This window comes from Homo sapiens, chromosome 7 (assembly GCF_000001405.40).
Source record: "Homo sapiens chromosome 7, GRCh38.p14 Primary Assembly".
NCBI classification, from domain to species: domain Eukaryota; kingdom Metazoa; phylum Chordata; class Mammalia; order Primates; family Hominidae; genus Homo; species Homo sapiens.
This window is the reverse complement of record NC_000007.14, coordinates 156,885,654-156,899,472: the sequence shown is the minus strand read 5'-3', so window position 1 is coordinate 156,899,472 and position 13,819 is coordinate 156,885,654. Positions and strand designations below refer to the sequence as shown.

At 46.2% G+C, this 13,819-nt stretch overlaps 1 protein-coding gene and 1 long non-coding RNA gene across 31 annotated transcripts in view, besides 3 other annotated features; one reads left to right on the top strand and one right to left on the bottom strand.

Annotated features, from left to right (window-relative positions):
- The window catches only part of LOC102723795 (uncharacterized), a 28,584-nt gene extending 22,509 nt beyond the window's left edge, over window positions 1-6,075 (bottom strand). The window contains exons 1-2 of one of the 3 annotated variants that reach the window (XR_428274.4): window positions 5,810-6,075; window positions 3,961-4,068 (exon numbers count right to left, since the gene is read on the bottom strand). This is a non-coding gene — a long non-coding RNA (uncharacterized LOC102723795). Of the gene's footprint in view, window positions 1-3,960; window positions 5,120-5,809 lie in introns of those variants that run through there. The other 2 variants (XR_928253.3, XR_001745446.2) reach the window with 2 other exon arrangements.
- Window positions 3,687-3,766: an enhancer, noted in NCBI's record as "active region_26914". NCBI's record gives its function as "activates an Ori minimal core promoter by ATAC-STARR-seq in GM12878 lymphoblastoid cells {active_cell/tissue: GM12878}" and the evidence as "EXISTENCE:reporter gene assay evidence [ECO:0000049][PMID:35858748]".
- Window positions 6,069-6,648: a silencer, noted in NCBI's record as "silent region_18853". NCBI's record gives its function as "represses an Ori minimal core promoter by ATAC-STARR-seq in GM12878 lymphoblastoid cells {active_cell/tissue: GM12878}" and the evidence as "EXISTENCE:reporter gene assay evidence [ECO:0000049][PMID:35858748]".
- LMBR1 (limb development membrane protein 1) overlaps window positions 6,290-13,819 on the top strand; it is a 224,172-nt gene continuing 216,642 nt past the window's right edge. For all 28 annotated transcript variants that reach the window (XR_007060137.1, XR_007060136.1, XR_007060135.1 and 25 more), the window contains exon 1: window positions 6,290-6,545. Coding sequence is in view for 11 of the 28 variants with exons in the window: in NM_001363412.2 (NP_001350341.1) it covers window positions 6,470-6,545 (76 nt within the window). In the remaining 17 variants the exon portion in view is untranslated. The remainder of the gene's footprint in view (window positions 6,546-13,819) is intronic.
- Window positions 6,699-7,198: a silencer, noted in NCBI's record as "silent region_18852". NCBI's record gives its function as "represses an Ori minimal core promoter by ATAC-STARR-seq in GM12878 lymphoblastoid cells {active_cell/tissue: GM12878}" and the evidence as "EXISTENCE:reporter gene assay evidence [ECO:0000049][PMID:35858748]".

The following is a 13,819-nucleotide window of genomic DNA, read 5'->3' as shown; positions in this document are numbered from 1 at the left end:
TTCGAATTAGAACTTATACTTTGGTCTCCAGCTTGCCATCTGCAAATCTTAGGACTTCTCAGCCTCCAGAATCATGTGGGCCAATTCCTCATAATACATCTTTCTCCCACCCTCTCTTTCTACACCTCCACCCCCTAATTAGTCCTATTCCTCTGGAGAGCCTTGATGCACCATTCCCGAAACTTGAGGGGCAGAGAGTGAGCTTGGATTCATTTGTATGCTTGGTTGCATACTCCACTCAAGCACATACTCAAGCACACTCAGGACTACAGAAGAATTCAGTGGGGAAGGGGGGTGGGTTGTCAGGGCAGAATCTCCAACAGAGGGACCTGGATGTTTTACTATGTGTCATGCATGGTGATGCAATTGTTTTTGTTTTATTGCATGGCAGAGAGCAATGGAACTGTGAGAAAAGCAGGTGTTAATAAGTCAATGAATCTAGGTTCAAATCTTGATGTACAAACCAGGTCAGGTTGCTTAACCTTTCTGAGCCTCAATGTCTTCAATGGTAATATGGAGCTGACAGCACCTACTTCACTGGGCCACTGTGATGGTTAAATTAAATACTGCATGGGAAGTGCCTGGAATACAGTAGTTATTCCGCAAAAGCTAGCTCCCCACTACCGCCCCCCCCCCCCATTTACATGTATGACTCTTTATTCAGCAAAGGCTTATCAACCTGTTATCATGTGCCCGGCACTGTGCTTGGTGTTGGAAAAATAGTGAACAGGATAAAGTCTTTGCCATGACTAGGGCAGACAAAAAGCCTACCTATGTGTTAATAACTTTTTTTTTTTTTTTTTGAGATGGAGTCTTGCTCTGTCACCCAGGCTGGAGTGCAGTGGCGCGATCTCGGCTCACTGCAAGCTCCGCCTCCTGGGTTCACACCATTCTCCTGCCTCAGCCTCCTGAGCAGCTGGGACTACAGGCGCCCGCCACTACGCCGGGCTAAATTTTTTTTGTATTTTTATTAGAGACGGGGTTTCACCATGTTAGCTGGGATGGTCTCGATCTCCTGACCTCGTAATCCGCCTGTCTCGGCCTCCTAAAGTGCTGGGATGACAGGTGTGAGCCAATGAGCCCAGCCCCTATGTGTTAATAACTTCTATGGTCCTGTCTTGAAGACAGTGCAAGGTGAAGTGAGCCGGCATAGCTGGGCTGGGTTCAGGTGCTACCTCAGCTCAGGATCTAAAACGCCCTCTCTACAGTATTAATCTTTACACTGTGAGTAAGGAGAGAGAGGCGGCTGTGATTCTGGGGAGAGCATCCTGGGCAGAGGGCACAGTACAAAGGCAGTGGGGGGCCCAGCAGAAGACAAGATTGGGGAGGTGGGCAGAGGCTGGTCCTATGGTCTCTGCAGGTCTTGGTTAGGGGTCAGAGTTTGAGCGTAAGTGATATGGGAAGCCTTGGGGTTGGGGAACACAACTAATTTACATACTTATTGCACGGGATGGATGATGGGAGGGAGAAGATGGTGAGGGCCTGGGAAGAGTAGATGCAGGGAGACCAGCCCAGAGGCCACTGAAGGATGAGGCCAGTTGGAACGGGAGAGTGGCAAAGGCGGTGTGGAGGAGTGGCTGAATTCCAGACATATTTTAGTGGTAGAATAAAAAATACTGGCTGATGGATGGGGTGTGCGTTGTTAGGGAAAGTGTGGAATTCAGGATGACTCTCAGGTTTGGCGCTAAGCAACTGATGCTCATGATCGCCTCCTCCCCTCTAACCCATACAAATGCCAACAGAAACGTGGGTTTGCATGGAAAGTTTCCAAGTTAATTTTTTTTTTTTTGAGACGGAGTCTCGCTCTGTTGCCAGGCTGGAGTGCAGTAGCGTGATCTTGGCTCACTGCAACCTCTGCCTCCTGGGTTCAAGCGATTCTCCTGCCTCAGCCTCCCCAGTAGCTGGGACTACAGGCATGTGCCACCATGCCAGGCTAATTTTTGTATTTTTAGTAGAGATGGGGTTTCACCATGTTGGCCAGGATGGTTTCAATCTCTTGACCTCGTGATCTGTCCACCTCGACCTCCTAAAGTGCTGGGATTACATTAGTGAGCCACCACACCCGGCTCCAAGTTAATTTTTAAGACAACAAACACAATATTAGTGCTGGAAGGAACATCAGGCATTGTTAATTGAACAGAGACCTGGAAGGTCACACAGCAATTTACCACAGAACTGGCACCTGGTTTACAGATTCCTTGCTTAGCGTTTAGGCTAACATGCTCCATTTAGCGAGGGGTTAAGTTGAGGTAGAGAACCCATGGTTTAGGCTACCGGGAAGTGGTGCTTCTTGAAAGTTACTTTATTAAATTTTAAATAGATGCTGTTTATGCATGACAGATAATGCGTAGGTATAAAGAATAACAATACAAGATAGGGTTGTGGATCTCCTCCATTCTGGTTTAAGAAATAGAGCATTATCATTCTCTTTGTGGCCCTTGAATGCCTCTCACCAATCCCTTTTCTGACCTCTCTGAGTTTTATCATTCCTTGGCTTTTCTTTATAGTTCTACTGCATGGTTGTATCCCCAAATAGTTGATATGGTTTCGTTCTGTGTCTGCACCCAAATCTCATCTCGAATTGTAGTCACCATGTGTGGAGGGTTTACCACTTCCTGGTAGCCTAAACTGTGGGTTCTCTACCGCAACTTGACCCCTTGCTAAATGGAGCATGTTAGCCTAAACACCAAGCAAGGGGTCTCTAATACCCATATGTCGAGGGAGGAAGGTGATTGGATCATGGGGGTAGTTTGCCACATGCTGTTCTCATGGTACTGAGTTCTCATGAGATCTGATGGTTTTATAAGTGTTTAACAGTTCCTCCTTCTTGCTCTTTCTCCCCCTTTCTCTTCCTCTTTTCCTCCCTCCATCTCCTCTTCCCTCCTCTTTTCCCACCTCCCTGCCCCTCTTCCCCACTTCCTCACTTCCCCCCCACCCTCTCCCGCCTCCCCTGCCACCATGTAAAACATGCCTGCTTCCCCTTCTGCCATGATTGTAAGTTTCCTGAGGCCTCTCAAGCCATGTGGAACTGTGAGTCAATTAAACTTCCTTTGTTTATAAATTACCCAGTCTTGGGTAGTATCTTTGTAGTAGTGTGAGAATGGAATAATACAATAGTATATTGTTTTGTGTGGTTTTGAACTTTACCTAAATGGAGTCACTGTGTGTCTTCTTCTGGTACTTTCTTTTGGTCAACACTTTGTTTTAGAGATTCATCTGTATTGCTGCTTGCAGCTATTGTTCACTAATTTTTCAGAATCGCATTCTGTCCCACGAACATATCAGTTTATTTACCCATTCCACCGTGGATAGACAGCTGGGCTATTTGTAGACTTCTGCTAGTTCAAGTGGCACAGCTGTGGGGATTCTCATTCACATCTCTTGGTGTACATGCTCAAGAGCTTTTCTAGGATACATGGGTAGGAGTGCAACTGCTAGTTGCTTATCTTCAGCTTTACTGGATAATGCCAAATTATTTACAGAGATATCATATTGGTTCACACGACCTCCAGTGGCACAGAATTTCTACTGTTCCACATTCTTGTGACACTCAATATTGTCAAATTAGAAGAATTTTGCCCACCCAATGAAAGTGAAAAGGTACTTCATTTAGGTTTCAATTTGCATGTCCTGGGTATTGTTGAGATGAAACATATTTTTAAATGTTTATTGCCAGCCATGTTCTTCTGATATGAAATGAAACTTCATATCCACACAGCATATCTTGGTGGCCAGGAGGTGTCATCATCACATTTTAAGAACTCTGTGTCTTTTCTCCAAAACTTGTTCTAACTGCAGCCTTCCCCCCCTTTGGTGATGCAACTGTCCTTCTGGCTGCTAAGGCAGATGCCTTGGAGCCCTCCCTGTCTTTCTCTTTTTCTGACCACATCCCCATGTGATAGGAAATCCTGATAGGAAATCCTCCTTTCAAAATGCATTCAGAAACCGACCGCCTCTCACCTCCTCTGCTGCCTCCACCCTGGTCCAGGTCACTAGGCTCTGAATTTCTGCAATAAGTCTTCCTCATTTGCTGTCCAGGCCCTGAGCAGCAGTCAGATCACATCACACCTGTCAATAACCCACAGTGGCTCCTAACCTCTCCCAGAATAAAAGCCAAAGCCGTTACAATGGCCCATGTGGTCTTATACAACAGCGTTTAGGGATGTGGGAAAGAGGGTGTTGGCTGGGGTGATGGAGGTGACCAGGTCACCTATCTTCAGCTGGGCTGGGGCTTATGATGCAGTGGCCAGTGGCCATTGAGGGTCCCTAGGGTCCGTAAGAAAGGGCAAGTCCTAATGTACAAGCACTTTCCTATAGTTTTGTATTTTTCAATGTCCCACTGGCTAGAGCAGGTCACCCAGCCAGGCTGATTCCAGGGCTGGAAAGTAGAGTCCATTTCTTGCTGGGAGGAAGGACAAAGCCAGATGGCAGAGGGTGAGCGTATAGGGAGTGGTGAGTACGTGGCCATTGTTGAAGTTGACTACCCTGGGTTAAGTGTTACAAGTACCAGTGGTGGGTAAACCTCTAGGGATGATTGCATAAAAGAAAATCAAAAGGTCTAGATGGTTGGAGTATTGCATTAAAAAGATGAGGAATACTACATGCATTCACTTTCTGGAATCTGTGTTTAAATGCCATACACTTTAAAATCTAATCTGCTTGCCCTCTGATTTGGAGAGAATTAACCCAGAAATTATCCAGGTTCTTTAGGGCTCCAAGACATTCTAAAAAATAAAGGTGAACGTTGAATTTAACCAGTTGACAGTTGTTCTTGGATTATGATCAATCAGCCTGTGGCAGCAGGGCACATGCTGAGAACAAGCCTCAGGTTCTCTAAGTTCTCCCACCACCACAATGTTCAGCTATAGTGAACTCATAGAAACCGTGTGTCGGGGCCTCCAACTTCGCCAAGCACCATAAGAAGTTTGAGTTGTGAAAAAATTTTCTCTACTCAAAATTGTGAAGAGAAACGGCAAGGTTTAAATTACCACATATTTGTCTTTGAAGAACTTTACAACAACTTCATTGACTGTTAAATTTAGATTCATAAAAATCTAAACAACGGCCGGGCGCGGTGGCTCAGGCCTGTAATCCCAGCACTTTGGGAGGACGAGGTGGGCGGATCACCTGAGGTCAGGAGTTCAAGAACAGCTTGGCCAACGTGGTGAAACCCCGTCTCTACTAAAAATACAAAAATTAGCTGGGCGTGGTGGCGGGCGCCTGTAATCCCAGCTACTCGGGAGGCTGAGGCAGGAGAATCACTTGAACCCAAGAGGCAGAGGTTGTTGTGAGCAGAGATCGCCATTGCACTCCAGCCTGGGCGACAAGAGTGAAACTCTGTCTCAAAAAAAAAAAAAACAAAAACAAAAACTAAATGACATTTGAAAGCAATTTGTAGATTTTCACACTTCCTAAGAATTCTCAAAGATGCCAAAAACAAAAATCGCAGCCACTAGCAATTTAAATGACTTCCTCGTAGCCAAATAAATCCTAAGGTAAAATTATAAACATTCCCTTAAATTCAAATTTTATAACAAAAAGAAAGATAATAGGGAACGGAGGGTGAATTATTGTGTTTGATATATTTGGCGGTGAAAAATACATATATTACGTGCTGTTTAGGGTCCACTGAGAGTCATAAAACTGACCCTAGTGACCGAGCTACCGGAAGGACTTGGCAAGGGTCTAGCGAGCTCGGTTATCTGCGTTTTCCAGGTGGGGCAGCCCAAGACCCTTCTCAGACCCAGAGAAGCTGGGTTTCCGCCCAAAGCCCGGCCCCAAACCACCGATTTCCGACCTTTCAACCTACTTTGGCAGAGCAAGAGTTTCCGCGGGAGACTCCCTGCTTCCCTCTGCCCAGGTCCCCTGAGGCCGAGTGCGGTACTGAGTGCTGAGTAAGGGGTGCCGAGTGCCAAGCACTGAGTAACTGGGGGAGGGGAACCATGCAGCTGTCATAAATAATTAGCTCCTGTGAGGAACAGGAACTCCGAGACTGCGGCCGGGCCAGGTGGGCAGAGGTCGCAGCGCCCTCGCCGCGTTCCCCGTCCCCATCCGACGCCAGGACAGCGCCTCCTTAACTGGGGTAGCCCCTGAGAGCGTGGGCGGAGCCCCGCCCCGCGACCTCAAGGCCCCGCCCCCTCAGCGCCTCCCGGCCCAGCAGCTCGGAAGACCGCGAGGCGCGCTTTTCTGACGCATCGGCGCCTTTCGTCTGACGTATGCCTGCACCGCCCCCTCCCCTCCCTGCCCCGCCCCCGCCCCGCCCCCGACTGCGCGGCGCCCGCCCTCCCTTAGTCAGAGCTGCTCGTCTGAGGCTGCTGAGGCGACGGCCGGTGTCGTGGTCGCGGTACCTGTTCCAACACGGCTCGCGGGCCCGTGCCGGCTCCGGTCCCCGGCGCGGCTGTCCGAGCCCCTGCGGCGGGCGGACGATGGTGTGGCGGAGCACGCGGACGCGGGCGGCGCGGCGGCGGGCATGAAGGAGGATGGAAGGGCAGGACGAGGTGTCGGCGCGGGAGCAGCACTTCCACAGCCAAGTGCGGGAGTCCACGGTGCGTGGGGACCGAGGCAGCCCTGACAGTCCCGCGTGCCCGCCCGGGCCCTCCGTCCCCGCCCCCGGGCCCCCGGTCCCCGGACCCCTCACCTCCGGGCCTCGCCTCGCGCCTCCCGCCCCGGCCTCTGCCGCTCTCCCTCCCCACCCCTCCTCTCCCCTCCCCTCCCCTTCCCTCCCCACCTCTCCTCTCCCCTCCCCTCCCCTTCGCTTCCTCTGCCTGCCCCCCCGCTCCGCTCTTGCCTCCCCTGCCCCCTCGCGCTCCCTCCGTTCGAGCCCCGACCCCGCCCCCGCCCCGCGGCCTCGGTGCTGCCCTTCCCTTCCCGCGGGGAGGGCTGCGGTGCGCGCCGCGCTCTGGGACCCCAGGGGCTTCCTCTCTGGGCGGGTGTGCGGCTCGCGCCTCGGGGTGTGGACGGCGGCCCCGCCAGTGCGCGCCCCCGCGCTCCGCCGCCAGGCCAGGTAGGCAGGTGGATGCGCAGGCGTCCCGGAGAGCCTGGGTGGGCCCGGCGGGTCCGGGAAGGGCCGGGCTGCGCGGAGCCCGCCCGCCTCTCGCGTTTGGACCCGGCCGGTTACCTTGTCCCGGTCAACACCTCCTGCCCTCCTGGCGCCTCACGTTTCCATCCCTCTTTCATCTCCCCCAGCCCCCACGTGGGTTGAGTTCGAAACCTTACCGTTTGGGATGAGAATATTGGTTATTTTTGGGAGTGAGGACCTCAGCAAAAGTCCATTTTGCTATGGAAGCAACTTCTTAGGGAAGCAGCTTCTTTTTTGGCCCATGTTCCATGTGTGCTGTTGGCAGGAGTCAGGAAGCGGACTTGACCTTGGAAAGTCTACTTTGATGTTTTTATCTTTTCATGATGCTCTAGAATGTATTGTAATTGGGTTTATCTGTGTTTTCATAACTGTTGTAAAATATGTCAATTTTTTATGTTTATATTTACGCCTCTCCTAAGTTGTCTACGATTCAGTCACACTTGGTTTGAGGTGAAAAAATTCTGCTTTAGAATTATCTAATTTGTGTACTCACTGATCTTGAAAATTGAGAATCACTTTGGAAGTCATACTTTGAATAAAGAGGACATATAAAGTCTGAGCTGGTGGAATTTGAGTTAGTGGAATTTGGTACACATTTAGTTGTAATTTTTATAATTGAAGCTAAAATACACAGAGATAAGTTCATGTAATCATACATGTACCCTTCAGATCATTTCATACTAAACACGCCTGTGTACTCCTGAATCCACCAGGAGTTTGAGACTGGTCAGCCTGGGCAACATAGTGAATCCCCATCTCTACCATTATAAAAAAATAAATAAATAAACACAATTTTACTAGGATCCCAGAGACTGATTCCTTTCCCTCTTCCAATTACTTTCTCCTCCACCAAGGGTAAACGTTGCCCTGGCTTCTAATATCATAGATTAGTTTTTGCTTAGTTTTGAACTTTATGTAAATGGAATCTTACCGTATATACTCTTCTGTGTCCAGTTTCTTGTACAATGTTTGTGAAATTTCTCCATGTTGTATGTGGTTATAATTCATTCTCGGTGCAGTAGTTGTGTGACTATAGCACAATTTATTTTTCATTTTACTGTTGATGGGCACTTCAGTAGTTTCTAGGTTTTGGCTATGAATATATATATGTGTATATATATGTGTATGTATATATGTGTGTGTGTGTGTGTGTGTGTGTGTATATATATATATATATATATATTTTTTTTTTTTTTTTTTTTTTGTGATGGAGTCTCGCTCTGTCTCCCAGGCTGGAGTGCAGTGGCACAATCTCGGCTCACTGCAACCTCTGCCTCCGGGATTCAAGTGATTCTCCTACCTCAGCCTCCTGAATAGCTGGGATTACAGGCACACACCACCACACCCAGCTAATTTTTCTATTTTTATTAGAGACGGGGTTTCTCCATGCTGGCCAGGCTGGCCTTGAACTCCTGACCTCAGGTGATCCACCTGCCTTGGCCTCCCAAAGTGCTGGGATTACAGGCATGAGCCACCACGCCGGGCTGGCTATGAACTTTTTGTACATAGCTTTTGGTGGACATGTTTGTGCATTTCTGTTGGGGATAGCCCTAGGAATGGAATCCCTAGGTTAAAGAGTGTGCATTTGTTCATCTTTAGTAGATACTTTAAAACAATTTTCCAAAGTGGTTGTACCAGTGTACACTTCCGCCAGTACTGACAGTCTCAGAGGTGTGGTTGTTACTCATCTTTATCAATACTTGATATTTTCTGTCCTTTTTAATTTTAGTCATTCTAGCAAGTGTGTTATAGTGTTCATCATACAAATAATTTTAATTTGCATTTTCCTGATAACTAATGAATTTGAGCACCTGTTTGTTTATTAGCCATTTGGAAATCTTGTGAAGGGTCAAATTTTTTTCCCCATTTAAAAATTAAGTTTATCTTTTTAATATTGATTTGCAAGGTCTTTACAGAATAACTTGTATTATATTGTTATACAGGTGGATATGATTTCTTTGTCAGAAATATATACTGCACATATTTCTTTCCCACTCTGTGGATGCCTTTCACTTTTAATGATATCTTCTGATGAACAGAAATTATTAATTTTAATATAGTTCAATTTATTAAAATTTTTTTGAGTACTTTTAATGTCCCGATTAAGAAATCTCTCCTTACTCTAAGACTGATGTTCTCTTCTTCTTTTCTCTAAATGCTTTATTGAATTACTCTTCTCATTTAAATTTGCAATCTATTTCGAATTTATTTTTTTGTGTCTGGTGCAAGGTAGGAGTCATATTTTTTTCTCCCACAGGAATGTCCAATTGCTTCAGCACTATTTAGGACTTTTGTCACAGATAGGTAACTGTATATTCATAGGGTTTAATTTTGGACTTTATGTGGTTTTATTGGTCTATTTGTCTTTAGTTTTATTATTTTTTAAAATTTGAGACAGGTTCTCCCTCTGTTGACCAGGCTGTCGTGCAGTGGCGCAATCATGGCTCACTGCAGCCTTGACTTCCAAGGCTCAGGCGATCCTCCCACCTCAGCTTCCCAAGTAGCTGGGACTACAGGCTTGAATCATACAGGTGTGCACTAACAGACCCAGCTAATCTTTTAATTTTTTGTAGAGGTGAGGTCTCACCGTGTTGCCCAGACCTGTCTCCTGGGCTCAAGTGATCCTCCTGCTCTTTGGCTTTACTTTTAATTAATTAGATATTCTAGAATTTGGGTTGAGAAAGGGACACATTGTAAAACAGTCCAGAGCTTCGTCTACTCCCCTGAAAACGGTTTTGGTACCGATTATGGAGTTCTTTAGTTCTGACTCTCCTCACCTGTTTCCCTCAACCCAGTACCCCTGGCTGGTTGAGTCTACTCCATCTTCTACAGAACCAGCGCAGACAGTGACCAGGCTCAGGGTTCCCAGTCTTTGGCATTTCTTTCTCAAATGATTTATATTTAGAGTGAATGTAAATACTTTTTCTCTAAGACCTGTTGCCAATTTTTAAAATTATTCAATTCTTTCTGATTTTGCTACATAATGCTATAATTGCTTAACTTTTTTATCATAATAAGATATATATATATAACATGCAATTTACCATATCTAAATATACAGTTCAGTGGCGTTAAATACATTCACATTGTTGTGCAACCACCACCACTATCCATTTCCAGATCTTTTTCATCAACTGAAACTTGATACCCATGAAACAGTAACTCTCCATTCTTCACTCTCTCCAGCTGCTGGTTCTGCCTATATGAATCTGACTATTCCCAGTTGAACCATACAATATTTGTCCTTTTCTATCTGGCTTATTTCACTTAGCATAATGCCTTCAAAGTTCACCTGTGTTGTAGCATGTGTCAAAATTTCTTTTTCTTTCTTTTTTTTTTTTGAGACAGAGTCTTTCTCTGTTGCCCAGGCTAGAGTGCAGTGGCGTGATCTCGGCTCATTGCAACCTCTCCCTCCCTGGTTCAAGCAATTCTCCTGCCTCAGCCTCCCGAGTAGCTGGGATTACAGGCATGCGCCACCGCACTTGGCTAATTTTTGTATTTTTAGTAGAGATGGGTTTCACCATGTTGGCCAGGCTGGTCTTGAACTCCTGACCCCAGGTGATCCACCTGCCTCAGCCTCCCAAAGTGCTGGGATTACAGGTGTGAGCCACTGTGCCTGGCCTCATTTTTTAATTTTTTGTAGAGATGGGGTTTTTGCTATGTTGCCCAGGCTGTTCTTGAACTCCTGGCCTCAAGTGATGCACCCACCCTGGCCTCCCAAAGTGCTGGGATTACAGGCGGGAGCCAACGTGCCTGGCCCAGAATTTGTTCAGGCTGAATAATATTTTCTTTTTGTGTATACTGTATTTTGCTTACCCATTCATTCATCAATTGACCTGAGTTGTTTCTGTTTTTGGCTATTGTGAATAATGCTGCTGTGATCATGGGTATGCAAATATCTATTAGAGTCCCTGCTTTCAATTCAGAAGTAGAATTGCTGGATCATATGATAATTCTATGTTTAATTTTTTTTTTTTTTTTTTTTGAGACAGAGTCTCGCTGTGTTTCCCAGGCTGGAGTGCAGTGACTCAATCTCGGCTCACTGCAAGCTCCGCCCCCCCGGTTCATGCCATTCTCCTGCCTCAGCCTCCCGAGTAGCTGGGACTACAGGCACCCGCCACCACGCCCAGCTAACTTTTTGTATTTTTAGTAGAGACGGGGTTTCACCATGTTAGCCAGGAAGGTCTTGATCTCCTGACCTCGTGATTCGCCCGCCTCAGCCTCCCAAAGTGCTGGGATTACAGGCGTGAGCCACCACGCCCGGCCTCTATGTTTAATTTTTTTGAGGAACTGCCATACCATTTTCCACAGAGGCTGTACCATTTTATATTCCCACTAGCAAGGAGCCAGAGTTTCTGGTTCTTCCGCATCTTCACCAACACACATTGTTTTCTGTTTTTCTTCTTTTTTTTAAAATGGATGTGAAATGGTATCTGATGCTGGATTTGATTTGCATTTCCCTAATTATAAGTGAAGTTCAGCATTGTTTCATGTGCTTATTGACTATATGGACATCTTCTTTGGAGAAATATCTGTTCTTTGCCTGTTTTTGAATTGAGTTGCTTGATTTTTGTTGTTTAGTTTTAGGAGTTCTTTATATATTCTGAATATTAACCCCTTATCAGACATGTGATTTGCAAACACTTCTCGCCCATTCTGTAGGGTTGCCTTTTTACTCTATTGCTAGTGTCCTTTGATGCACAAAAGTTTTTAATTTTGTAGTCCAATTGATCTATTTTTTCATTTGTTGCCTGTGTTTTTTTGTGTCATATCCAAGAATTCATCACCAACTGGCATCATCACCAACTGGCATCATGAAGGTTTTCCTCTAAGAGTTGTATAGTTTTAGCTCTTAGGTTTAGGTCTGATCCATTTTGAATTAATTTTTTTGTACAATATAGTGTTTAACTTTTTTTTTTTTTTTTTTTTTTGAGATGGAGTCTCACTCTGTCGCCAGGTTGGAGTGCAGTGGCACAATCTCAAGGCTCACTGCAACCTCCGCCTCCCGGGTTCAGGCAATTCTCCTGCCTCAGCCTCCCGAGTAGCTGGGACTACAGGCGAGCGTCACCACACCCAGCTAATTTCTGTACTTTTAGTAGAGACGGGGTTTCACCATGTTGGCCAGAATGGTCTCAATCTCTTGACCTCGTGATCTGCCGCCTCGGCCTCCCAAAGTGCTGGGATTACAGGCGTGAGCCACCGCGCCCAGCCTAGTGTTTAACTTTTAAATACTCATGTAATAATTTTGTCTTTTGTATTATGAATATCTCATAGTTCTCTTGTCAGTTGCTTTAGTGATCATATTTGACTTTGGCTATTAGTATCAGGTAGTAATGATTGATTTCCTTTCTTTTGAGAGCTAGCTATGAAATCCTAAGGCTGCCAGCTAACTGAGTATACCCTCTCTTGGCTAAGGGGACCCCAGGAAACCTTAAAAACTGAATTCCCAACCAGAATGGGATGGGACATCTGACACGCCTCAGTATACCCCCTCCCTTTTGAGGTTTAAACACAGCTGACCAGCATTAATGTTAAAATAGAGATCTGAAGACTGAGAGAACAGACTCTTTGTGGCAATAAAATACCCAACTGTGAACAAAATGTAGGGCCATGCCAGGCAAGGGTTAAGTAAAGCATCCCCTTAAAGAATAAACTGGTTCTAACTGCCTCAAGGTGTTTCTTTTTTTCTAGCGGCTAAACAAGCACTGGCCTCCAGATAAGCAATATTAAGATAACTGCAGCTCACTCACTGCCAGACCCTAAGTGATCCCCACTCTCCTGTTCCACAAGCCATAACTATAGCTTTGATTGGACAAGAGACTGATTTCAGTAACTTTCTCCTGATAAGAGCACTGAGCATGAACTGGTTCTGGCCAGTTTACAGAGGCTGTGCACTTCAGTGCCTTCATGTCCCTGCTTCGCCATCTGACTACAGGGCCTCATTGTAATCCTTTTAGATGTTAAGTCTCCACCCACAAGTGAATATGGATAAGTATGTAACATACATGTTTATTCAGCCTGCATGTGCATGACCTCCCCCACTTTGTGAATATTCATAGCTCCTCCTATAACCTGTTAAATATATAAACTTGGCCAACCCGTTCAGCATAAATCCCTGTTCTATCCTCCCTTGAAGGTCTGTTTCTGTGCTCTGCGGGAGGATGCTTCCCAGCTATCAGGATTGCCACCTTGTAGGCTGTGACTCTTTACAAAATTATTTTTGAGGCAGAGTGTGGTTCCGTCACTCAGGCTGGAATGCTGTGGCACAAACACGGCTTACTGTAGCCTCTATCTCCCAGGCTCAAGAGATCTTCCTACTTGAAGGAAGTCTTTTTTTTTTTTTTTTTCTTTTTTTGAGGCAGAGTCTCACTCTGTCACCCAGGCTGGAGTGCAGTGGCACTATCTCAGCTCACTGCAACCTCTACCTCCTGGGTTCAAGCAATTCTTGTGCCTCAGCCTCTTGAGTAGCTGGGATTACAGGTGCCACCACCATGCCTGGCTAATTTTATTTATTTATTTATGATATGGAGTCTCTGTCACCCAGCCTGGAGTGCAGTGGCACAATCTCGGCTCACGATAACCTCTGCTTCCCGGGTTCAAGTGATTCTCCTGCCTCAGCCTCCCAGTAGCTGGGATTATAGGTGCCTGCCACCATGCCCGGCTAATGTTTTTGAATTTTTAGTAGAGGCAGGGTTTTACCATGTTGGCCAGGCTAGTCTCAAACTCCTGACCTCAAGTGAT